Source organism: Homo sapiens, chromosome 12, assembly GCF_000001405.40.
Source record: "Homo sapiens chromosome 12, GRCh38.p14 Primary Assembly".
Taxonomy (NCBI): domain Eukaryota; kingdom Metazoa; phylum Chordata; class Mammalia; order Primates; family Hominidae; genus Homo; species Homo sapiens.
This window is the reverse complement of record NC_000012.12, coordinates 66347281-66372902: the sequence shown is the minus strand read 5'-3', so window position 1 is coordinate 66372902 and position 25622 is coordinate 66347281. Positions and strand designations below refer to the sequence as shown.

The 25622-nt window shown below is 43.2% G+C and overlaps 1 protein-coding gene and 1 long non-coding RNA gene across 24 annotated transcripts in view; one reads left to right on the top strand and one right to left on the bottom strand.

The window, feature by feature from the left end:
• Nucleotides 1-25472, top strand: part of GRIP1 (glutamate receptor interacting protein 1) — a 721908-nt gene extending 696436 nt beyond the window's left edge. For all 22 annotated transcript variants that reach the window (XM_047428622.1, XM_005268757.5, NM_001379351.1 and 19 more), the window contains 3 exons: nucleotides 976-1209; nucleotides 19340-19486; nucleotides 23657-25472. In XM_047428622.1, coding sequence (XP_047284578.1) covers nucleotides 976-1209; nucleotides 19340-19486; nucleotides 23657-23884 — 609 coding nt within the window. In that variant the 3' untranslated portion in view covers nucleotides 23885-25472. The remainder of the gene's footprint in view (nucleotides 1-975; nucleotides 1210-19339; nucleotides 19487-23656) is intronic.
• On the bottom strand, nucleotides 1070-15765 carry LOC105369811 (uncharacterized). Of its 2 annotated transcripts, XR_007063352.1 has the most exons (4): nucleotides 11536-15765; nucleotides 10315-10873; nucleotides 4861-4967; nucleotides 1070-1146 (listed from the first exon to the last, which is right to left on the bottom strand). It is a non-coding gene; the product is annotated as an uncharacterized LOC105369811 (long non-coding RNA). The 2 variants fall into 2 exon arrangements; XR_945040.3 differs by having other exon boundaries at nucleotides 10315-15765.

The following is a 25622-nucleotide window of genomic DNA, read 5'->3' as shown; positions in this document are numbered from 1 at the left end:
TTTACCAATGCTAGTTTACCTTTATACTATTATACCCAGGAGTACAGAACTGGCTACAGGCATATTTTCAGAATTTTAGCATTCTCCAACCATGAGAAATGAATATCCACTACTTGATATTGGTTTCAAATCCTTTTTTTTTTTTTCCAGTTCTGAGCCTTATTCATCTTTGGTATCTAATCTTGTCATTGCTTGTGAAGTATTCAGGGAAGAACATATTTGAAACCGAACAAACTTCCCAATTCACTGGTAACATCCAATTCAAGTCCTACTGCTTGTGAGCAAAAAGTTGAATATAATAACATAATAAATGATTATTTTTACTTTCTCTGAGGATCTTATACAAAGAGTATTTCTAAGAAACACTTAATCTGTATCAAATAATATGGAGACTTAGCTGGTCTACAAACTCTGGGGACAGGCCACTTGGCCAAAGGAAAGACAATATACAGTCTAGACGAAGCTTGGGAAGAACCCCTTGCCTTTATATCAGTCATCCCTTTCCAGCCCATTGTTAACTGCAGTTGGAGATAGAGGCAGCATTGCAAGTACAGGCAGCCTGGTGTCCATTGAGAAGTTCTTAATTCGTTTCTGTAAGATATATTCAAGGTGGCCTCATGAATCCCATCTGTTAGAGCCCACTGAGTGGAAAGTGAATGCTTAAAATGTAGTTTACAGTAAGCAAATGTTAGAGCATTTCAATTTGCCTCAAAACTGCCAGGGGTGGTATTTGATTAAATAAACTCAATGGCTTAAGTACTTAAATTGGATTTGAGATGTGCATTATAAATGTCACTTGCAAAGCATTTTCCAGACTTTCATAGTTCAATTAGTACATCCATTTTCCAGCCTTTGGTTTTGCCCTGAAGAGACTGTATTTTTACCTCGCAGAAGGAGAAATGTGCTTACTGTTGAGCACCAAATCCTTTCCTTAGTCCATGGCTTAATTGTTTCTAAAAATTGTCAATGCCACAGGCAACAATCATGTCGGGGAGCACGATGAGTTTGAATCATGAGGCTCCAACACCTCGCAGTCAGCTGGGGCGACAGGCCAGCTTCCAGGAGCGCAGCAGCTCGCGGCCGCACTACAGCCAAACAACTCGGAGCAACACCCTGCCTTCAGATGTGGGTAGGAAGTCAGTAACCCTGAGAAAAATGAAACAAGAAATAAAGGAGATCATGTCTCCAACTCCTGTGGAGCTGCACAAGGTCAGTAAGCTTTCTCTTCTTTCCCTAGGGTCAAATTTGGCAGCCATTCTGCATAGCATGTACGCCGAGATGTAAGCATGGCAATGGTATCCTCCTATGGGCTCAGCCAAGCAAAGAAGCTTAAAAACAGATCTTCAGAGACTTTGTTCTCAAAATACAATCTCTGGGAGGTTATCCTGAAAAGCAGGGAAAACTAGCTTTCAAGCAATGTATTTATCAAAAATGTATTTATGGTGGCTGGGTGTGGTGGCACATGCCTATAATCCCAGCACTTTGGGAGGCCGAGGCGGGTGGATCACTTGAGGTCAGGAGTTCAACACCAGCCTGGCCAACATGGTGAAACCCTGTCTCTACTAAAAATACAAAAATTAGCCAGGCTTGATGGCAGACACCTGTAATCCCAGCTACTTGGGAGGTTGAGGCAGGAGAATCACTTGAACCCAGGAGACAGAGGTTGCAGTGAGCCAAGATTGTGCCACTGCACTGCAGCCTCGGTGACAGAGCAACACTCTGTCCCAAAAAAAAAAAAAAAAAATTATTTATGGCCATAATCTTCTTACAAAAATTTGAGGCTCCAATGTCACACGGAGCTTGCATAATTAGTTTATTATTCCAATCTCATTGGAAGGGGAAAGGATTTTCTAAATGTCATACACTCATAGCTTCACAGAAAAAGGGGTTCAGGTTCAATGCAGGGAGGCTTAATCTTTCATTACAGACTTGCAGTAGATGATTATGTTGTTCAGGAGACATGGAGTTCTCTCCAAGATGTGTTAGATGTCTTGGGCCAGGATAAGGCAAGCCCTGGCTATGTTCTGTCTCTAATTGTCATAGTTGCCTCACTTTGCTACATGGAACAAAACCCACTCTTGCACACAAAGCTGAATTCAAGATTTGCTGGCAGGGTTAGCCAAGGCATATGTAAGTAACAGTGTTTGTGGAACCCTGGGCCAAGGAGAGCAATGGAGGTCTAGTTTCCTTTTCTAGGGTGAGTGCTTTATTTTTTGTTAATATAAAAGGATGTATAAAATGGTAACAATCTCATGCCATCTTTCTTGAGAACCAAGACATTTTTTGTGGTTAATAATCTATTAGCTAGACATTCGTTACCTTACCCAGAAGAGCAAATAAATGTCAGATTCAGAGGAGGCAATAGGCTAGCTACTCGCTTTTTTCCTCTAAAGACCTCAATTTCCCTAGCCACCTTATTAAACCTAGCTATTTGTTTTGCAACTGACAAGGATACTGTGAGAGAAAGGATAGTATGGGAAGTTGGGTTCTGAACTTTGTGTTCCAATCCTGGGTTCATTCTTTCACCACTCACTCCTCCATTCATTTAATACCCATACTGTGCATTAATTCACTCAAAGAACGTATTACAACTCCCCAGGGAGTACGGAGTCTAATGAGGAGACTGCCTGGGAAACAGTGGGAAGATAATGGCATCAGTCCAATGACAGAGGCAAGCCTGGGCAGCCTTGAGGGTGGGCCCTAACCCACTATCAGGGGACAGAAAAGACTTCCTAGAAGTAGATGTTGACTATGCAGAGGAAGGTAGAGGATGGGTGGGCATTCCAAGCACAGAGAAAAGCAGGTGCAAAGGGATGTCAAAGATTGTGGTGCACTGAGGGAGGGGATGCAAATATTCTAACATGACCAGAGTCTAGAATTGGAAGCTTGTGTGCTAGGAGGAATTACAGACTAAGAGAAAAAGCAAAGACATTTCTGACATGTTAGGATGATGACCCAGGTTTAGGCCCCAGCCACAGGTTAGCTTGTTTATCCAGTTACCCTAAATAGATGTGTCTGATGGGTAAGTCACATATCCTAATATACTAATTGACATACACCATTAGGCTGTAAGAAGTCCAATGGTGATTAAATTGCGGAAACCACATATTCAGTCCTAAGTCTGCTGTACCAAGAAGACGGCTGGCACCTGCGGGTTCCCTCGGGTACCTGTGAACACTGCCTTCCCCTCTTCTGTGCAGTTCTGTTCCCCAGAGAAACAGGAGCCTGCTTGATAACCCACCTTCCTTCACCCCAAAGAGAATCCATATCAACACATAATGAGTGCCTAGCAAGTGCTATGTACTTTACATTCTCAGCCCTCACTTATACAGGATAGACAAATAGCAAGTATAAAACAGAGTCATTTTTTCCCTCTGGAGTGAAACAGTTACCTCCAAGGAAGAAGATTATTGATAGCCCAGGAATACAAAAGACCTGTTTTCTCATCCCTCCTTCACTGAAAGCATTTAGCAAAGATAATGACAATGAATTGGACGTGCAAGTGTTGTTATAGCTGAGGTTTAAAATGGCTCTGCTAAAAAAAAAAAAAAAAAAAAAAAAAGATCTTGTTAAAAAGAAAAAAAAAGTATCATCCACTTACTGGCATAATGAATGGCTGTGGATGGACTGGTTGGAACATCTGTGTGGCAGTGTGTGAACTGTAAGATCCTGAGATCACAGACACGCATGAGCCAAATTGACCTTATAAGTAGGATGCTTCTTTTTTCCTTCACTTCTGTCATTTTCTCTAAATGGTGACAATACATACATGTCCCATGAAGCTTCACTTTTTTTTCTGAATTGATCCCCAACAAAATAAGGCTCTAAAAAATAAGTGGTGTCCTAGACATTGTAAGCCCCCTAAAATGACCTAGTTAAGTGAAGATATAGCTGAGATGCCTGTGGCCAGATACTATGGAATTATTGGAGTGATTTATGCTCGCATCTTGGGTGTCTGTTCTTTTTTAAGGAATTCACTTACTCTGATAGACCATCCAGGATGTTTGTTAGTAGGCACACCCTCCAATTTTGAAGTGCTGGGGAGGAGATATGGTCATTACAAAAGCTGCTTAGAGCAAAGAGTGGTAATTGTGTGTGTGTTGAATGTGGGTGTCTTTTGAACACTGAAAGACTACCTAATGTCATGAAAAGACAAGTGACTTGTTAAAGGAATGGAGCTCTCTTCCCCTGGGGTACTACTAGCCTGTATTAAACCTTTGTGAACATTAGGGAAAGGTACTGTTTTGCGGTGGTGGCATGGATAAGGGAGCTAGGGAATGAGAAAAACACCTTCCTTAAGTTGAAGATAACCCAAGCCACAGTGCACAGCTGGTTTTCAGTCCCCTGAGCCTCCTTGGTACTCTTTTCCAAATGGACCTAGTGGAGGAATTCCCAAGGGGCTGAAAAGACCAGAGTGGGGAAGCTGGGAGAGATGAATAGCACACCGGGCTAAACATGCTTGGCGTTATTTTCCTGGTGCTATCTTTCTGGTGGCTCTTTCTCACATGGTTAGGCTGTATGCAGGAGAACAAGTGGTGCGCCTGTTCATATCTAGACCAGCACCTGTTAAACCTTATTATTTTCACTATAAGTTGGATCAAGATAATATGAACGAATGGACAAGGATCTGTGCCATTGCTGGGAGGAAAAATAGCTAAAAACACTCCAGCTCCTGCAGGTGGGTTACTAACATCATCTCCATACAAAAAGAATAATGCATTGGCTCACCTTCCATCTTCTGAGGTCTCAACCTACTCTCCAGAGTTTGCCCCTCATTTTCTGCCCATTCCTTCCTACCACTTCTCTTCCTCCAGACCTTTGGAAGGTCCCCAGGTCAGAATCTAAAGGGTTTTCACTCACTTCTCATCATCTGCTGCATCTGAGGCTCCACTGGGATCTTGGCAAGCCTTCCTTCAAGTTGTCCATATTCATTCCTGAAGCTGAAAAGCCAGTTGTCATGCCTGACACTGGAGAACAAAGAAACACAGTCTTATATCCTCTTTGTAGACATGGGAGGGAAGTGGAGCTGGAGTGATTTGGAACTCAGTGTGGGGATGGAGAAAATGATAAATGGGTCACAGGGAAGTGATCTTCATGTCCCTTTAGGCCACTGTTTCTCCAACTTTCTCAGCTGGGATGCACAGTCTGAAATATATTGTACCTCACAATTCACTACACGTGTATACCCCCACTCATATATGTGAATGAAACTAAAAATTGACTGCACAGTATACACTGACATTTTTCTGATTTTTCTTCTGTTTCTTTTCAAATGCTAATCTCACTAAGCTGACTTCAAGACTTACTAGTAGGTCTCAACCAATAGTCTGAGGATTAAAGCCTTAGACAGTAGTTTGGAGTGTGAACCCCTGATGACCTTTTCCATGGAGTGCTTGTTAAAATAAGGGTTCCTAAGCCCAGCCCAGACTTACTGTGTCAGCACTTTCAGGGAGCATGGGCCGAGAATCTACATTTTAGCAACCTTTTCAGTGGATTCTTTTGCAGAATAGAAATTGAGAATCACTCCCTTAGGTTTTGCTAAGTGGAGGTGATAACTGTTTCAGTGAAATCATAGGCAACAGCTGGGTGGCAGGGTACAAAGGAAATGAGGCTGCATCTAAGTAAGGCCCTGGAGCTTCTGCATCTTATGCATCTTATCTTTCAAATGAATTCTGGTTTGTACTACAGCTTATCACAGATTCTCTCTCTTTGCAGATAAGGGGCCTGTGATCTCAGCTACCGTTCATTGATAACCCTTCTTTCCCTTCTGAAGCTTAAATATCCTTTGGTGTCCACTTAATCTGTTTCTGAAATGAGTTCTGGCCTCACTTCTTTGCACACCTTAAGGCAGAACGATTTTTTGTAGATGGAAAGTTCTCCACATGCAGAGCATTTGGACTTTTATAAAATTCATATTGAGGCTGGGCACAGTGGCTCACACCTATAATCCCAGTACTTTGGGAGGCCAGTGCAAGAGGATCGCTTGAGCCCACAAGTTAGAGGCCAGCCTGGGCAATGTAGCAAGACCCTATCTCTACAAAAAATGAAAAAATTAGCCGGGCGTGGTGGCTTGCACCTGTAGTCTAAACTACTGAAGAGGCTGAGGCGAGAGGATCACTTAAGCCTGGAAGGTCAAGGCTTCAGTGAACTGTGATTGAGCCAGTGCACTCAAGCCTGGGTGACAGAGCAAGACTCCCTCTCTTTAAAAAACAAAAACAAAAACAAAAATCATATTGACATTTCCTTTTGCTTTGTCATTCATGCTTTTCAATAAAATTATACTTCTTAATTGTATGCAGCCATTTTTATCTTCTTACAGAAATGCTTTTAAAAAATGTTGCAGCATCTGCTTTTATTTGTGGCTGCTGGTGGCATGACACTTGGACATTTCAGTCACTCACAAGTAACCTCTTTATTTTTCACAGCTGCTTTTGCTACCATCGCCTTTTCCCCCTGCCAAGTTCAGTTTGCATTTTGAACATTTTTGAGTTTTCCAAGAGGGGAGCTTTGCTCTGCTTGATATGATAAAGTTGTTTTGCTCCTTAGAAGGAGTGTCATTTTCAATGTGTATAATACCAGCTTCTTTTGCAATATCTCTCTGAGTCAGGAACAGGCTCAGCCCTCGGAGGAAGTATGAAATGGAAATATGTATCTTATTCTTGCACATGCTTCTTTCTTCACAAATATTTGGAGTCAGCTCTCAAGATCAAATGAATCCTCATGCCAGGCTTCAACTTTCTCCAAATACCTAGTGTAGAATTGTGTACTGTGGAAATCACTGGAAGCTAAAAACAACACATTGAATATATGAACTTTTTGTTTTTGTCTACCACCCTTTGCTAGATCTGCTTCTCTTTCTTCAGGCAAGGAGTGATAAACTAGAGAGAACATAGGCTTCCTAGTCAGGCAGACCTCGCTTGCCATGCATTAGCCATGCCACTTCCATGAGCCACAGTTTCCTCACTTACCAAAGAGGGAGCAGGGTCACTTGTTATCAGAAGAGGGAGACTTCACAAGATAGCATTTTTTTCTGGTAAAGTCACCATCATTCCATCTTGCCTCAACCTTACAGGGTCAGAAACTCACACAGTGAGACTTCTTCAGCATCCCAGACTTCAACAAGATCCAGATGGCTGCCATAAAGCCACCCTAGACATAAGGTTGTATACCAGAATGAGAATCCATTCACAAAGAGAAGTGGATGTGTGTCTAGTGACCAGTCACTTATCAGTTTGACCAGCAAATTCTCTCCCTGTAGAACCAGGGACAGCAAACAGAACATTATCAGGGGAACATAGAACTGTGGAACAAGGATTGGAGTTTGGCTTGTATGCTTTAAATAAATAATGGCATCCAGCCCTGACCATCCTCAAAATGTATCATTTCCATTAGCTTCCCTTCTCTATGATTCTGTTAAGACACAAATTTTAAATGTAAAAACATAATATTTTTTGGGAGGGAGGTGAGGGATGAAGTCTGGCTTTGTTGCCCAGGCTGGAGTGCAGTGGCACGATCTTGGCTCACTGCAACCTCCGCCTCCCAGGTTCAAGCAATTCTCCTGCCTCAGCCTCCTGAGTAGCTGGGATTACAGGTACACACCACCATGCCCGGGTAATTTTTTGTATTTTTAGTAGGGACAGGGTTTCACCATGTTGGCCAGGCTGGCCTCGAACTCCCAACCTCAGATGATCTGCCTTCCTTGGCCTCCCAAAGTGCTGGGATTACAGGCATGAGCCACCATGCCCACCCCAAAACCATAATCATTAAAGTTTTATTTTATTTTAAATAGTCACATAATAATTATATACATCTATGGAGTACAAAGGGATATCTTGATACATGTATACATTGTAGAATCTATACATGAGTAATTAGCATATTCATGACCTCTGTAAGTCAGAGAAAATGACTGAGACAAGTCTCAGTCATTTTTACTTTGCCAAGGTTATGGACACGCCCTGGGGAAAAAGGGACACATACCACAGGAAAAATCTGTGATCTGTGCTTTTTCCAGAGAGGGTCTGTGGGCTTCAATATTTAAAGGAAAAAGAGTAAAGAAAAAAAGAGAGGGAGAGGGTGGATAAAAGACGGAAGCTGTTGCGTTCTTTTGAGCCTTTTGATTAGCTTCACTGAATAAATAATGGCATCCAGCCCTGACCATCCTCATTTCATTTTTCATGTGAAAGGAGTGATCCATTATATATTTATCTGGAGCTCAGTGAATCTGCATTTTTACATAAGATAAAATAATTATAGAGTATAGGTAGGGAGGAGTCAGATATGCATTTTTCTCAGGTGAGCAGAAGGATGACTTTGAGTTCTGTCCTTTGTCCCATATTTGTGAAGATAAACTGTTAATTTACTTTGTTGGGGTGAAATTCAACTGAACTGCTTTAAAGATCTCAGGGCCCGCCAGGAATTTCCTTGTGGGCAAAATATGAGAAAGGTATACAGCTACCTATGTAGGAACGAAATGGGAAGGAGGTTTGCAGGACCCAGTGCCCATCTTCACTGTTTCCTTTGGCTTACTGAGTTTGAGGTCCTGAGATTTTAATTTTATTTTCCTTTCACACCTCAACCACTTATCATTTCTTTCTTTCTTTCTTTCTTTCTTTTTTTTTTTTTTTTTTTTTTTTTGAGATGGAGTCTTGCTGTGTCACCCAGGCTGGAGTGCAGTGGTGCAATCTTGGCTCACAGCAACCTCCACCTCCTGGGTTCAAGCGATTCTCCTGCCTCAGCCTCCCAAGCAGCTGGGATTACAGATGCATGCCACCATGCCTGGCTAATTTTTGTATTTTTATTGGAGATGAGGTTTCATCATGTTGGCCAAGCTGGTCTCAGACTGGCTGGTCTTGAATTCCTGACCTCATGATCCACCTTCCTTGGCCTCCCAAAGTGCTGGGATTATAGGCATGAGCCACCATGCCCACCACATTTAAAATTTTCTCTTTTAGCGATTTTGAAATATACATTATTATTAACTGTAGTCAACTTTCAGTTTAGTGGATCACCGGAACTTATTCCTGCCAGCTAACCAACTTTGTACCCATTGACCAATGTCTCCTCTTTACCCCAGCCTCTAGTAACCACCATTCTACTTTTTGCTTCTACGAGTTCAACTTTTTCAGATTCCACACATAAGCAAGATCATACAGTATTTCTCTTTCTGTGCCTGGCTTATTTCATTTAACATAATGTCCTCTAGGTTCATCCACATCGTCACAAATGACAGAATTTCCTGAAAAACACAATTCTTATGTAAATGACTGGCTCATGTCAAAAAATGTTTATTTAACTCATTAGCAAGGAATGATAACAGGATGGCAAAACTTGTTTAAAGAGGCATAAGGAGGGCCAGGTGCAGTGGCTCACACCTGTAATCTCAATACTTTAGGAGGCCAAGGCAGGAGGATCACTTGAGCCCACAAGTTAAACACCAGCATGGGCAACATAGTGAGACCCAGTGTCTACAAAAAATAATTTAAAAAAAAAAAAAAAGCCAGATGTGGTGGCACGCACCTGTGGTCCCAGCTAAGGAGGCTGAGGTGGGAAGATCACTTGAGCCTGAGAGGTCAAGCCTGCAGTGAGCCACAACCTCACCACTGTACCCCAGCCTGGGTGACAGAGCAAGACCCTGTCTCAAAAAGGAAAAAAAAAAGAGATACAGAAACTTTATATATATATATATATATATATATATATGGACACACACACACATATATACATATATGTGTGTGTATATATATGTATATATGTGTGTGTATATGTGTGTGTGTATATATATATAAAGTTAGTAGGATATATATATGATATGTGATATATCAGCCAGTGGGGAAAAGAAATGTTGGAATAAGTTTTCTAAGTTGGAATCAAAGCTGCCCAATAACTTGTCGGGAAATAAAATCAAAGCCTTTGAGGTTATCTTTTCTGAGGGGAGAAATGATTTGCATCTCTACCAGACAGAATTCAATTTGTATCTTATCACTTTTCTACAAGTTGCCATCCACGTTTGCAGAGTCTGAGCTCTGAGCGAGAGAAGCAGTGAGAATTGCCATCCCCTAGACTCAGACGCCTCTGCGGCAGGCTCGCTAGTGTCTAGTGTGCCTTATTTCTCAGGGCTTGATCATACATCTTATCGCTTCTGTCCTGGACCCACCACCACCTCTCTTCAGAAATGTTAATAGCTTCCCTTAAGTTTGATTCTGGTCTGGGACCATTCATCCCTCCCTGATATCCTTATGCATCTCTGTTGTGATCAAATGTACGTATTTCTAGCATGTAAGTTTGTGTATTATCTGTAGAATGTTCACTTACAAATGGTGTACTTTCTGAAGGTCACTCCATTTCCCTCATGTCCAGATTCTTGGAGAACAGTCCTATCGTCCTCCTCCTCCACTGTTGTTCTGCCATATGACTTGTCAGGCAAGGCTATAGTAAAGATTAAATTGAAGGCTGGGCGCGGTGACTTGCGCCTGTAATCCCAGCATTTTGGGAGGCCAAGGCGGGTGGATCATTTGAGGTTAGGAGTTGGAGACCAGCCTGACCAACATGGAGAAACCCCATCTCTACTAAAAATACAAAATTAGCCAGGCATGGTGGTGCAGGCCCGTAATCCCAGCTACTCAGGAAGCAGAGGCAGGAGAATCACTTGAACCCAGGAGGCGGACATTGTGGTGAGCCGAGATCACACCACTGCACTCCAGTTTGGGCAACAAGAGTGAAACTCTGTCTCATTAAAAAAAAAAAAAAAAAAAAAAAAAGATTAAATTGGTAACACTCTAGCCCAGGGCATGTCTCTTCCTCTCTCTCAGATGGGGTACAGAGAGCTCTTTCCTTGTCCCAGCCTCTTCGTAATATCAGGCATCGGCAATTTCTACAGTGGGGAAATAAAATCAAGACAGTTAGCCCTGAGTGCAGTGGGAGTTTGGTTAGTTGCAACTTGTCATCCTTTCTGAATGACAGTGTGCCTGGCCTTCAGTCCCACAGGCCCCGAGGGTGGGTGGAGGGTGTGCCACCCACCCAGAGCTGCAGGATGTTCCTGAGTCAAGGAGGCCCACATGGTCCTGAGAGGAACGGAGGTCAATCTGTTGCAGAGGGAATTGGGAAAAGGGTAAAAGCTGGAGAAGGGCCAGGCCAGAGCCAAGCTGGGAGCTAGAAAGCAGAGGCTGAGTCAGGAGGGGTGCTGTGAGCAGGCAGCAGGCAGGCCTGAGCAAAGACACCCGCAACAGGGACTCCGCCACAGCCAGCCAGCTTGGTGGTGGCTGGGGCAAGTGCAAAAGACCAGCAATGGAGCTGGCAATAACTAGGGGACTAGCTGCTTGCTTGCAGCTTGGTTTGATCTCTTGGAGAATTTGGAGAATGATCTAGCTCTTTCGTTTTTGTTACTATGTGAACCAGTAGATGTGTGAAGGTGCTCTGGGATGAATGAGAAAGGCAGCACCTAAGTCTGCCACAGATCTTAAAAACTGTGTAACTTTTTTGGTTGGGACTCAGCTCCCCAAGGGCCAGGGTAGCCCCTGGCTTGCTTATACTTACAGCCAAAATCCCAGCTACTGATTCTCTCATTGTTGAGCCCTCATTTTTTCCAGCTCTTGGTGCCACACTGTTGCCAGAATGAAGCAGGAGGTGGCATTTGGAGCAGCTCTTCCTTTCTCTCCTCAGCCAAGAAGACTCCCCAGACAGGAAGGCAGCAGCTGCCTTCTGACCCAATTCCTCTCAAAACCCCTGAGTTTCTAGTAGTATAAACTGAGATTGCTTCTTCTTGGGCTGTAGGCTTCCAGTTTAGAAGACTGTATTCTATTTCGTTTTCTTCCAGCACCATAGGTAGTATAGGATTGTCCTCAAAACTGGCATTACTTAAATTGTCAGAGTTAAAGGAATGGGGCTACCCCAGTGGTATCTGTCATGAGTAAACCAAAATGCCTGGTGATTTATGGGAAAACTGTTTCTGAGAAGTAGGTGTCAGTTTGGTTCTCAAGGCCATTGGGACAAGGGAGTGAGCCATAGGGAGCTGTCAGAGCTTGAGGACTGCTTCTGGGATGGCTGTCAATTGCCATGACTTGCTCAAGACAGCAGATGCAATTGCCCTTAAAATCCAAGTGGGGAGAGTTGGCTCTGCAGTTAAAGCCTTTCACATGTGTCAAAACTGAAAACATAAGCATCGGGTTTCTGATCTTGGCCTTGAGGATGTTCTTCAAACATGTCGGTAGACTTGCTTAGAAATATAAAACAAGGTTGAATGTGAATCATGGTGAACCCACCCTGCCTCCTGTGAAAGCTTCTGTTCTCAGGAGGGTTAGAAGCAATTGTAGCACATGCTGACAAATAGTTAAAATTGAACTGAGCTTTGTAGAACTGTATCCTAGCCCTGAGTGTTATGTTCCGAGAAGCTCACTGGCTCTTTTAGAACAGAAAAACCTTGCAACTGTGTTCATGGTCCAGGTTCTCCGGGGGCATCCTCTAGTCAGCACAAAAGACAGACCCTACAAGAAAAATTTTGCTTTACACAGGCTAGGGTAGAATGCAAAGCCAACTGACAGGTTGGTGAGCCATAGGAGCATGGAGCAGGACTTTATGCAGATGTTCTTGGAAAGCCACAAAGGGCTCTGATGAGAAGAAACCCAGTGGGCATGATTAATTATTCATCTTTAGTTGGTTGGGCAGTTGGAAATGAATAAAGGCTGCCTGACCAGCTAGGAGATTACATGTCGAAAAAAAAAAAAATCATGATTTGGTGGAAAGAACACAGCAAACGAGGTCAGATATTCTAGTCTTGAATCCTGGTGCTTCTGCATTCTAACTGGACAAGTCAGTCCATCAACTTTTTCAAGGTTCAGTATCCTCATTCTTGGAAAGGCAATGATTTTGCTGCCCAGAGGTGTTGTAAGATCAAAAGCAATCATATGTAAGAAAGTAACTGGATAAAAGATTCATTTCCAGGGGTAGGGGGAAGTATGAACTTAAACCTCAGAATCCTTAGAATTATTTTTGCACAGGAAGTAAATCCAAGGTAACCACTACCAATATCCAGGTAAACAGGGGTATATGGCACAATTCATTGCTACTGGTTTGAGAACAGCCCCCTGTGCTCCCCATTTTTGTTAATTATTGATTTCTAGACTCTTATCTTTTATGTAGTTTTAAAATAATTTTATTTTTGTTAATTTGCCATTACTAGGCTACTTCCAGGAGAACCATATAGCTGGCTATTGAAATTCAGTATCCTTTAACCTTGGGAGATATCTCTGGAGAAATAGATTACTTTTAGATTTAAACTATTTATTAGCCTCTCATCCTGAAGAGTTTTCCATCAACTCTTCAACTCTGAGGCTCAGAAAAACCAAGGCTCTTTGCCAATAACTGTGACCTTGAAGTTAATGAGCTACTCTGCTAACCCACTGTGGTTGGCACTCATCTCTAATGCTTTGGTTGGTGTACTACCATTGGGTGGTGTTGTTAGTTTTAGGTGCCACTCTTCCTTGTGCCCCTCCTGGGTTCTGGCCTGTGGTGCAGACACCCAAGAATCACAGGCCAATAGAGTCATGAAGAACTTCACTATTATTCCAGGCCCACACCAAATGTTTCCTCAAATGCAAGGATTCTGGTTTACTATGTTGGAAAACATGCCTCAGATCTAAGACCAAAGTGAGTTTCCTAGCTCCCATTGAAAGCTTAAGATTTAGCACCCTCACATGTGGGTGCACCTCAAGGATATGGCTAGGCCTGCAGAGCAGAAGCTGATGCACTTTCCCAACTAGCCGTAGGCACAGAGTCTGCAGGACTGCACCTCTGTACCTAGTTGCAAGTGGAATGGAGATAGCAAGGAGGATGCCCCACCCTCTAGGAATGGTGGCGACGGTCCCTGCCCCAGGTGTGTTGCTTGCCATGTGGAGAAAACGTGGCTAAGAACAAAGACAGAAAAGGGGCAAAAAGGCAAGAGATCCCACAGATAAAGCCAGAGTGGGACATAAGCAGGAACCTCGGGCAGAGAGATTTCACCCACTAGTAAACAGGGTCTGAAGAATGTCAATCTATTACCAATTCTAATAACTACTAGCCTCCTTCTCATTTTTTCCCTTCTCTCACTATTTCTCCTCTTCATCCCTTTGAGAAAGCAGCATGGAGATAGAAGGAAAAGGACTAGAATAGGCCAGGTGTGGTGGCTCATGCCTGTAATCTCAGCAATTTAGGAGGCCATGGCAGGAGGTCAGGAGCTCATTTTAGGTTAGGAGTTCAAGACCATCCTGGCCAACATGGCGAAACCCTGTCTCTGCTAAAACTACAAAAATTAGCCATGCAGGAGTGGCATGCGCCTGTAATCCCAGCTATTTGGGAGGCTGAGGCAGGAGAAATCGCCTGAGCCTGGGAGGTGGAGGTTGCAGTGAGCCGAGATCGCGCCACTGCATTCCAGTCGGGGTGACAGAGTGAGACCCTGTCTCAAAAAAGAAAGAAAAAGGACTAGAATAGAATATAAATCAACAATATTTTCTCCAGTGAAGGCTCCTTGGAGGAATAGCTGATTCCAGATCGGGGATAAGAACTATTCATGGTGAGTCATATTTTGTGCCGGAAAGTAAAGAAGCGACCAAAACCAATGGATCCTATCAAAAGGACACAGGAGTCCACAGGAAAGACTTCCTGTGGCCAAAGATGAGAACATTTGAGCATCCAAAAGAATAATAATGCAACTGATTGAAATGCGTTGAATAGGCTGGGCGTGGTGGCTTACGCCTGTAATCCCAGCACTTTTGGAAGGCCAAGGTGTGCAGATCACTTGAGATCAGGAGTTCAAGACCAGCCTGGCCAATGTGGCAAAACCCTATCTCTACTAAAAATATAAACATTAGCCGGGCGTAGGGGCAGGTGCCTGTAATCTCAGCAACTCAGGAGGCCGAGGCACGAGAATTGCTTGAACCCAGGAGGTGGAGGTTTCAATGAGCCGAGATTGTGCCACTGCACTCCAGCCTGGCCCACAGAGTGAGACTCAATCTCAAAACACAAACAAAAAATGCATTGAATATATCAAAATTTATAGGTTCATATTGATCCCATCCCCCACCTTCCCCACACACAAATTCTCATTGGGCCACCATTCGAAGTATTTAGTGAACAAATTCCCTGTTTTGAAATTGAAAGGAAAGAATTAGCATTCATTCATTCTGCCCTTCTTGTAAAAGCTGTATTTCAGAGTAACAAAGCAGCACTAATTGATAAAAGAGAATTCTCCTTTACAAAATCATTTAGGCTAATAAATACAGAAGATGTTAATAGGATTAGAAAAAGATTATCGCTTTGCAACCCCTAATGAAATTTTGATTCAGACAGTGATCAATAAATAAAACCTTTAGATTAAAGATTGATGAGAACCCTTACAATAGAGGAATGAGGCTGTCATCACCTGAACCCACCCAAAGTAGGACAGCTAGACATGATGTGATAGGAAGCACTGTGCCACCTATGAACTGTTCCTGCCCCCAGTCCCCACCTCAAAGCTAACCTCGACTGAAATCAAGCATCTAGATTTAACTTCCATTTAGAGAAATGTGGGAGACAGAGGAATATACTACAGAGCAAATGACACAGTTTCAGCAATAGATCAGCAGCACAGGGGGAAGGACGAGAACCCACCACAGGTAAGAGGAGATTTAACAGACTTAACACAGAGGTAGTGTGTGGACTTTGTTGGGATTCTGACTTAAGCAAGCCAACTTAAAAAAATGTTTTTGAGGCCGGGCACAGTGGCTCACACCTGTAATCCCAGCACTTTGGGAGGCCAAGGCTGGCGGATCACTTGAGCTCAGGAGTTCAAGACCAGCCTGGTCAACATGGCGAAACCCTGTCTCTATTAAAAATAGAAAAATTAGCTAGATGTGGTGGCTCATGCCTGTAATCCCAGATACTCAGGTGGCTGAGATAGGAGAATTGCTTGAACCCAGGAGGCAGTGAGCCAAGTTGCAGTGAGCCGAGGTCATGCCACTGCACTCCTGCCTGGGTGACAGAGCAAGACCTTGTCTCAAAAAATTAAAAATAAAATAAAAATAAAAAATCATTTTTGAGACAATTGGGGAAATTATGGACTAGGAAGTGGTGGCTATCACATAAGAAGAGTTGCTGTTGCCAGTGAATTAATGATGTGGAGTTTATGAAAGAAAGTGATCATATTTTTTGGAGGTGTATACTGAAGTATGTAGGAGTGAAATGACATGCGGACTGGTGTTTGCTTGAAAACACTCCCCCGAAGAAGAGAAGGATAGCTGAAGGAAACATGGCAAGCTCTTGGTGGTTGTTGGATCTGAGTGGTGAATAGATGGGTGTTCCAACCTCTCTACTCTAGAATATGTATGAAATTTTCACCAAGAATATTTTCTTCCAGTGACTTACTCTTCCTTTCCTTAGGAAAGAGGAGCAGAAATCTCCTATCTGGCCTAAGGCAAAAACATAATTGTGGAACAGCCTAAATATTCCTCTCTGCAATGAGTATTTATTAAACAACTGTGTGCTAGGCAAGGAGAGAGTGTGCTATGGCAAGATCTAAGCTTTGCAGTCAGAAGCCTTGATTTGAGCCGATTCTCTGTTGCCATCAGTTTGATCCTGGGCAAGTTGCTATTTCTCTTTGAGCTTTCATTTCCCTGTCTGTATATGATCTGCTCCACAAGCTGGTAGAGACAGTAATATCTCTTTGCTTTCTAAACTGCTCACTCAACATCCACAGGCCTTACTAGCAAGAAGTCTAGCATCCCCCATTGGAGGACCCTCCCCCTACCTTCCTCACTGTCCGGGAATCTGGGTCTCCTCAGCCCACAGATAGGCCGGCCTGGCCCTGGTACCAGAAGTGCCCTCCCTCTCGTGTCCACACAGTGTCGACCTTGGAGCTTTGTCTTGCCTGGCCACTTTGTCATGGGACAGCCTTCCTGATTCCCAGCATGGCCTTGGGTGAGGGGTGAGGGGGATGGCTGGAACTCCAGAATTAAATCTCTCTTAGTTCACACTCTCTTTCTCTGCAATGATTCATAAAGGCACAGGACATCATGGTTGATCCTCAGCCTCATAAGGTGCAGGACAAGCCCTTTCTGTCCGTCAAAATACTAACCCCACTATGTGACAGGTGCTGCCTTAGGGGCTTGAGATATATCCATGAGCAAAAAGGACCCCTACTCCCCTCAAGGAGCTGGGGAGTGGGGATCTGCCACAAACCTAAGCCCAGGCCACCAGCAAAGTCTTCCCCTCTCCCCCTGGTGAGTATTGCTTTGGAAGGTAGGGGTGCTCTCAACCACACAGTGTGAACCTAACCACTTCTCCCTAAGCATCACCAGTGAGCATGTTAGATGGGCGGTGGGTGGTGGGGCCGGTGTGGGGGTGCTGGTGTCACTAGGCTACACACACACATAACCCCACACACCCTTTATGTAGTAAAGTGGGGCTTACTACTCTATCCCTGTATAAGTGAGGGCAGACTGAGAAAACTTTATATCTGTCACCTCTTAAAATGAAGACTCTTACCCATCTTACGGAATCGTTATAAGGATTAAATCAGATTTCTTCACTGGGCTGTCCTCATAAAGGTTGTGTTTTGCTCACTGCTCTACTTTTTTTATCACTCTATCCTGTGAAAAATATCCTCAGTCCCTAAAACAGTCCCTGACGCATAGTAGTGTCCAGTGTGTGTGCACACACACACACACATGCACACACAATGATGGAATGAGCGTGTGAAGAGGGTCGTCTCAGGGAACATTAGTTCTGCAGATTCTCAGTCGGTCTGGGGTGGGTCTGAGACTGCATTTTCACCGGCTCCTGAGGGTGGCTCCTGTCCAGGAGGACACTGAAAGTGGTGAGGCCGAGAGGTGCATGTTTAGTGGCAGGAGAATAGAACCATTAGGCACTTGGTGTCTGGAGTCTCACAGACACGTCCCCACCATTCTTACCTTTGTGGCCTTGAGCGGGTACATAACCCCAGTGAAATTGAATTTCCTCACCTCTAATATGGCAATAACCACTGGGACTGGTTGGTGAATAGTGTTGACCCAGTCAGCTTGATATTTTAGCTGTCTGTCCAGTAAAATAAAAACCCACACACTGACCACTTTCATATTGCCTTCAGAATGCCATAGCCCTCTGAAGTAAAATCACTGGATATAAACAAAGATACTTGCTATAAGAGTTTTAACCTTCACATTTTGCCCTGCATAGCTCTGATTTTGTTTTTGTTTTTGTTTTGACTATTTTACAAGAATGTATTCATGCATTAGTTGTGTAAAAACAAATATATATATATAATTACAGTAGAAAATTAAGCCTGACCATTGCTTGAAGTCTTTGTGGAGGGCATCTGGCACAACTTGGTAAAACCCGTGGCCCCCTCAAACGTTAACTGAGCATCAAGCGCTGAGTGTGCTGCTGGGCGCAGTGCCCAGTGCGGTGAGAGCTTGGGGACTGCTACATATTCATGTGTGTGCCTCTGGAAGGCAGGCTTTTCTTCCTCTTGTTCACTGCTGTTTCTAGCACCCCATGCTGTGCTTACAATATGGTAGGAACTCAATAAATATTTGATGAATATACAAATGATTATTTTAGCCTCAGATGAACACTCGCAGGTGGTCAGGTGAAGGAGTGAGGGCTGGTGGAGGAGTGAGGCTTTAGCCAGCTGTGGTTGGCCTTAGATGCAGAGAGACCCGGGGTGGGGGGCAGGCCGCAGCACTCAGGGTAGATGCCTTCAGTTACCAAATCAAACCCTAGACAAATGCTGAGGGAGCGAGTTAAGCCGAGGTGCAGAGCAAGGTGTTGTCATAGAGACACATTCAGGTCTTTTACATAGTGTTCTGTGATGGTGCTCATTGGGGGTTCCAGAGCAAATAAAAGGATGAACTTCATGGTACTTGCCCAAAGAGAGGATACGCCGAGCACTGTGCTTAGCAGAGCACCAGGCAGGAGTGGGGAGGAAGGAAAGGCCTTTGGCTTATTCCCCAACATCTCAGCAGTTGTAAAGGGCTGCTGCGGGCAGCTCCTCTGACCAGAGGTTGCCCCAGGAAAATAGTAGAAGTCAACTTGCCTTGAGGAAGTTCTCTCCTATATCCCCCTGATGACGACTGAAAAGGAGGGAGGGAGGACCCAGACGTTCCAGTTCTCCTCCTTTTTCAGCTTTGGTTGGGAATTCATAAAGTCCAAAGATATTCTTGGAGTGGGAAAAAAAGGCTGCAGGATTGGTGCAGGGAGCTGACTGATGCTGATATTACAAATCATGATGTGACTAAATTCGTGTGAAAAGATTGTTCATCAAGAAGTTGCAGAAGGAAAAGTCTCCACCCCAGCTAAATATTCACATCCCATTTTCTCTCTTCAGGTGACCTTGTACAAGGACTCTGACATGGAGGACTTTGGGTTCAGTGTAGCAGATGGCTTACTGGAGAAAGGAGTGTATGTCAAAAATATTCGCCCAGCTGGGCCAGGAGATCTTGGTGGCTTAAAGCCCTATGACAGGCTCTTACAGGTAAGACCTCAGGTGGAATTTTAATTCCTTGCAAGTAATTTCTCACTGGGAGCTTCCTCCACATCCTCCTGCATATTTGGGGCCCTTTGCTCTTTTCCCTTTCAGCCTTTGTCATCAAGATTATGGAATCAGTAGAAGCAAACAGCTGAATAAAGAATTTTCAGCTCTAGTAAATTCTAACCCAGACCCCAAAGTTCTGTGGTTTCTTACCAGTTTTTTTCGGCACTGAGCTCAGAGCCATCTTTCCCAATCTCACAGATTTCACCCAACCACGGTCATCTCCCACCATCGCACAGTAGTCCCATAAATATGACGTAGTTATCCGACTCCAGGCACCACCAGTCTAGTCCTTCCTACCACTTGTCTTCTACATGACCTACAAGGCCCCAGGGATTTGGCCTCTCCTTACCTTGCCAGCATCTTGTCTTGCCTCTTCATTCATTCATTCATTCATTTTTGAGACAGAGTCTCGCTCTGTCACTGGAGTGGAGTGGCGTGATCTTGGTTCACTGCAACCGCCACCTTGCAGGTTCAAGAGATTCTCCTGCCTCGGCCTCCCAAGTAGCTGGGATTACAGGTGCCTTCCACCACACCCAGCCAGAATGCAATTTGCTAACTAATTGGAGGGTTGATGACGGACCTTTTGAAGTTGATGGAAAGTTAGTTAGAATCTTTTTTCCTTTTTTTTTTTTTTTTGAGACAGAGTCTCAGGCTGGAGTGCAGTGGCACGATCTTAACTCACTGCAACCTCTGCCTCCTGCATTCAAGTGATTCTCCTGCCTCAGCCTCCCGAGTAGCTGGGATTACAGGTGCACACCACCATGCGTGGCTAATTTTTGTATTTTTAGTAGAGACCGTGTTTCACCAGGTTGGCCAGGCTGGTCTCATACTCCTGACCTCAAGTGATCCACCCACCTCGGCCTCCCAAAGTGCTGGGATTATAGGTGTGAGCCACTGTGCGCAACCTCTTCGTATACTCTCTAGCTTCAGCTGGATTTGTTTCAGGAATGGTGTATGCTGCCACCTCCTGGCCTTTGCACCTGCTGTGCCCTGAGCTTGTGGCGCTTCTCTGCTAAACATGCACAGGCTCTTTCCCTGCTCCTTCCTCTACTTCAGGTCCCTGCTCACATGCTGCGACTTAAACCACTCCGTCTAAAAGGGCCTTTCCTGCCTCTCCATTCTTCACCCTTCTTTCTTGGTTCGCAGTACAACCACAGATGATGCTAGTTATTTGCTTATTCTGTGTTGCCCACTAGAATGTAACTCCATGAGGGCAGCGATTTTATTCTCCACTCTATTCTCAGTTCCAAGAACAATGCTGTCACATAAAAGTGCTCAGTACTGCACAGCAGAATAGAAGCGCATTGGCTCTGAGCCTTATATACTCTTTCCTTTCTCTGAATGCTCTTCTAATCCCTAGGCCTTACCTGCCTCATTCCGACTCAACTTTTTGGTCTCACATAGATCAGCGATTCTCAACCTTGATTGAAAAAATGGAATCACCTAGAGAATGTATCCCAATGTTCAATCAAATGCCAGACCAATTAAACCAGCGACTCTAGGAGACAGATACGGCATCGGTGTGTTTTTACACCTCCCCCAGTGATTCCAGTGAGCAGCCAAATTGAAAACCACTAGTTTAGAGGACTCCCCTTCAAAGCCTAACTTCACCAGACACCACCCAACCTCCTTTACCTCAAGTCTGGACTAGGGGCCCCTCCTATATCGAACAGCAGCTTTTGCTTTTGGTAGAATTTACATTATTAAAACTGCCTGTTCAGAGGTTGCAGTGAGCCGAGATCATGCCACTGTACTCCAGCCTGGGTGCAGAGTGAGTTTCCAAAAAAAAAAAAAAAAAAACCACCTTCCTGTTTCCCTGCATATACTCCCCAGCAGATTGTAAACTTTTTGAGAGCAGGGATAGTACCTTATTCTCTCATTTCCCATTATGTGGTATTTGATATCTCAGTATCTCTCACAATATCTGAAACCAAAAAGCTGAACCTTGCTTACTTTAAATATAGTAACATTGAGGTCAGGTATAGTTTTATTTAGGAAAGCAGATTTCTGATCTTATGTACAGTTTTTGGGAAGAGCATTTTGCAGGAAAATGGAGTGGGTTGAAGTCAGTCTTAGCAGTGTACTCACCTGGAAACAGTTTGTCACCAAACAGCTGACTTTCAAAGCAGGAGGCTGCCACTCATTGGTTGGCTTTCAGGGATGTGTTCGCTGAAGCAAGTTGTCACTGATCAATTTGATAGTTTTGGAATCAATTCTGGTGATGATTTTTACTATGGCAATAGAACAATTAGTCTTATCCTAGGAGTTTGGGGACACTTAGTTTTCCGCAGACATGCTAATATTTGCTGAATGAATAACTATGGACAAGTTACTTACCTTCTATGAGTGTCTTCCTAATCCATAAATAGAGCTAGCTCTACTCTCATCGCAGTTGAGGCTGTAAAAGTAGACTACATTCAGATTATAAAGGGCCTTGAATGTGATGGTAAAGCTCTTGAACTTTATGCTGGAGGCATATTAGTTTCTTAAGCAGGATAATGATATAATTGGTAACATAGAAAGGCAATACAATATTATTATGGGTTTATCGAAGGTGGGTTGGGGAGGAGAAGATCACAGGCAAGGAGTCCAGGTAGGGGTAGGTAAGATAAGACAGCTCTTTCAGAACTAATGAGTCTTTAATATTTTCAGCACATTGTGATAGAGCAGTCTGGGAAGCATTTGGTGGTTTGGATCTGTTGGTGAGGAGAGATATTAGAGCCAGAGTTAAAGATTTAGGATACTGAAGGGTGGGGTTTAGGACAAGTTGCCCTTGGTGGCCTTATAACAAAGAAGAGAACAGAACCAAGGATGGATTCTAACAGTAACAAAATGTATCTATGTATTTATTTATTTCAGACAGAGTTTCTCTCTTGTCATCCAGGCTGGAGTGCAGTGGCGTGATCTTGGCTCACTGCAACCTATGCCTCCCAGGTTCAAGCGATTCTCCTGCCTCAGCCAGCTCCCAAGTAGCTGGGATTACAGGCGCCCACCACCATGCCCGGCTAATTTTGTATTTCTAGTAGAGATGGAGTTTCACCATTTTGGGCAGGCTGGTCTCGAACTCCTGACCTCAGGGGATCCACCCACCTCAGCCTCCCAAAGTACTGCGATAACAGGTGTGAGCCACTGCACCTGGCCACAATAACCAAATGTAAAGGACAGGAAGAAATAAAGGCAGGAAAGGACTGAAAGCGAGCAGTTAAAATGGTAAAAGGATCAAAACGAAGTGGGGTTGTAGAACTAAGGAAGGAGAGTTTTAAGGGTGAGGAGGTGTCACGAGCGGCAAATGCTAAACGCCAAGGAGGATGCAAACTCCAGAACATTCCTGGATTTGACAAGTAGGGTCATTTTCCAGCAGTGCAATGTGTCAGGGAGGACCTGAAAAAACTGAGGAGAGAATGGAAGATCAAGGAGTAGAACCGGCATGTGGGTGATTTTAAAAACTTGTGTTGGTGAAGAAGGAGAAATGGAAGAAGATGGGTGCATGTATAAGCTGAAGAGGGGATAAGCTCATTTTTTTAAAAAAATTTTCTTAGTAGAGACAGGGTCTCACTATGTTGCCCAGGCTGGTCTCAAACTCCTGGCATCAAGCGATCCTCCCATCTTGTTCTCCTCAAGTGCCACAATGACAGGTGTGAGCCACTGCACCTGGTGGAGCTCGCTTGTGGGAGAGGTAGTTCAGCATCGTGATTCAGAGCACAGGCTTTGAGATCAGCCAGTTGGCCTGGGATTACATCCTATGACCCTTACCAACTACTGATCTAAGGCAAAGCTCTTAACCTCTTTGTGGCTTGCTTTTCTCATCTGTAAATTAGGGATAATATTCAGCACTTGCAGCACCCCCACTGTGGGTGGAGCCACCTCCTTGGCATGAGGATAGGTAGGATGTGTATGTCTTCCTTGCCCTCGAGAGTCTTACAATTTACTAGCAGACAATGGCAATTGAGCCAGTAGCCATGTCACAGCATAGTCACAAGGATAGACCTCATGGCGCTCATTTTAGCACCTTCATGACTTCAAACAACTTGTTGCACCTGAAATGTTACTCCGGGTTTTGGGAATTATGGTTACAACGATAATTCAAAATGGCTGTTCTTGACCTTTCAGGTGAATCATGTCCGAACCAGAGACTTTGACTGCTGCCTTGTTGTGCCCCTCATAGCAGAATCCGGGAATAAGCTGGACCTGGTTATTAGTAGAAACCCACTGGCTTCACAGAAGTCTATAGACCAACAGAGTCTACCAGGAGATTGGAGTGAACAGAACAGTGCTTTTTTCCAGCAGCCTAGCCACGGTGGTAATTTGGAGACACGAGAACCCACTAATACATTATAGCAACGCTTTTTATAAAGCAGGACAAAAGACAATATCTACATGGTGCTAAAAATCCTTTAAGATTTCTGTGACCTTTGAAGCACAGATAATCAATCAACGTGGCATTAACTGCAAGCACAGGGGTCTTTTAAATCTCTCTCATGGCTCATGTTCACTTCCCTTTTCAAGTTGAAGAGGTTTCTTTTTTGGTGACCACTATGGTATATGGTGGGCAATGCCCTGCCAGTCCCAACGGTAGAGAAAAATAGGCCGTCCCCCACAACTCTACAATTAACATCAGAGGAAATTTTTTACAAGTTCATCTTACTATCACTTTTTAAAAAGAGAAACATCTGTTTGAAAATATTCTCTGTGATGATTTCCTTAATTCACTTTGAAATCAGTTTCTTACTATGAAGTCATTAATGTAAGAACTTGGCCAACAAAGCTTTTCTTCTCATAGGCTGGCTCTACTAGGGGAACTAGTGTTTGGTAAACTGCTGGGACTACCACAATGGGAGGGGTACAGGTATAAAATTAAGTTATCTTAAAATGTTTCAGCAATGATGCACGTAGGAGACCATAATAGGTGGTGGTAAATGTTTTGCCCACGTATAGGAATGATTTTAACTAAGATGTATGCTATTCCCTATGCAACAAATTATCAAACAGGATATGTCTTGTGACCTGTTTTTTTTTTAAGGACACATTTTTAATAGCTGAAAATCTCTGATAATGAATTAGAGTGTGTAGTAAACATGAGAATTAGTTATATTATCTTATTTTTAAAATTCAAGACTAAGAACTTCAGAGAATGAAGAGTCTATTAAAATGAGGTTCATCTTAATGATAGGCAAACCAAACTCATACTGCTTGACATGTTTTGAAAACTGGTAATATTGAGGGTGTACAGCACATGTACTTAAAAATGACACTGGACTATCTTTTGCTCTGAGCCATGCCACTTACCGAAATTGTAAATACATTTTTCACAAATGCATTGCCAATTATTACCATCCCTCAAAGCAATAAATTGTGACAGTTGCTTTAAATGTTTGTCAGCAACTGTTTTCATTTGTTCAGATATTTTGAATAGCTACACTAATAACTGTTATTATTTGGTGAACATAAAAAAATAAATAGATCTGTATATTGATGGTAGACTCTCCATATTGAAATGATTATTTTCCAAACATTTTCATTTTGGTCAATAATTCAAACTACCACTTAGGCAAAGTATTCGAACACTGTGTCCTTTGTTTAAGGAAATATAAAAAAAAAATCACCTTTCTTTTTGTGCAAAAAAAATATTATTTCAATCACATTTCAGAACCGCCAGGGCAAGAAAGTATAAAGCAGGATCATGTTAAGAAAAAAGAAAAAAAGATCATGAGTCACTTAAATATGTATTTTTATTTGTAACAAACAAGTATTAAACTGTAAAGTATTTTTGTACAAATTTAATACTTTAATAGCATGGTATTTATCGTCTATGTATGGTTTTGGGGAATTCAAAATTGTTCAAATATTTGTATGGAAAAAAATAAAACCCTCTACCAAATGGAATAAACAGTGATTTTAAAAAGCCAAATAAAGAGGATATGCATTATTGGTGTTGTTTTGAATATATTTCAATGTTCTAGCCTGAGTCCTACACAATTTTTTTTTGTTTTGTTTTGTTTTGAGATGATGATGGAGTTTCACTCTGTTGCCCAGGCTGGAGTGCAGTGGCACAATCTCAGCTCACTGCAACCCCTGC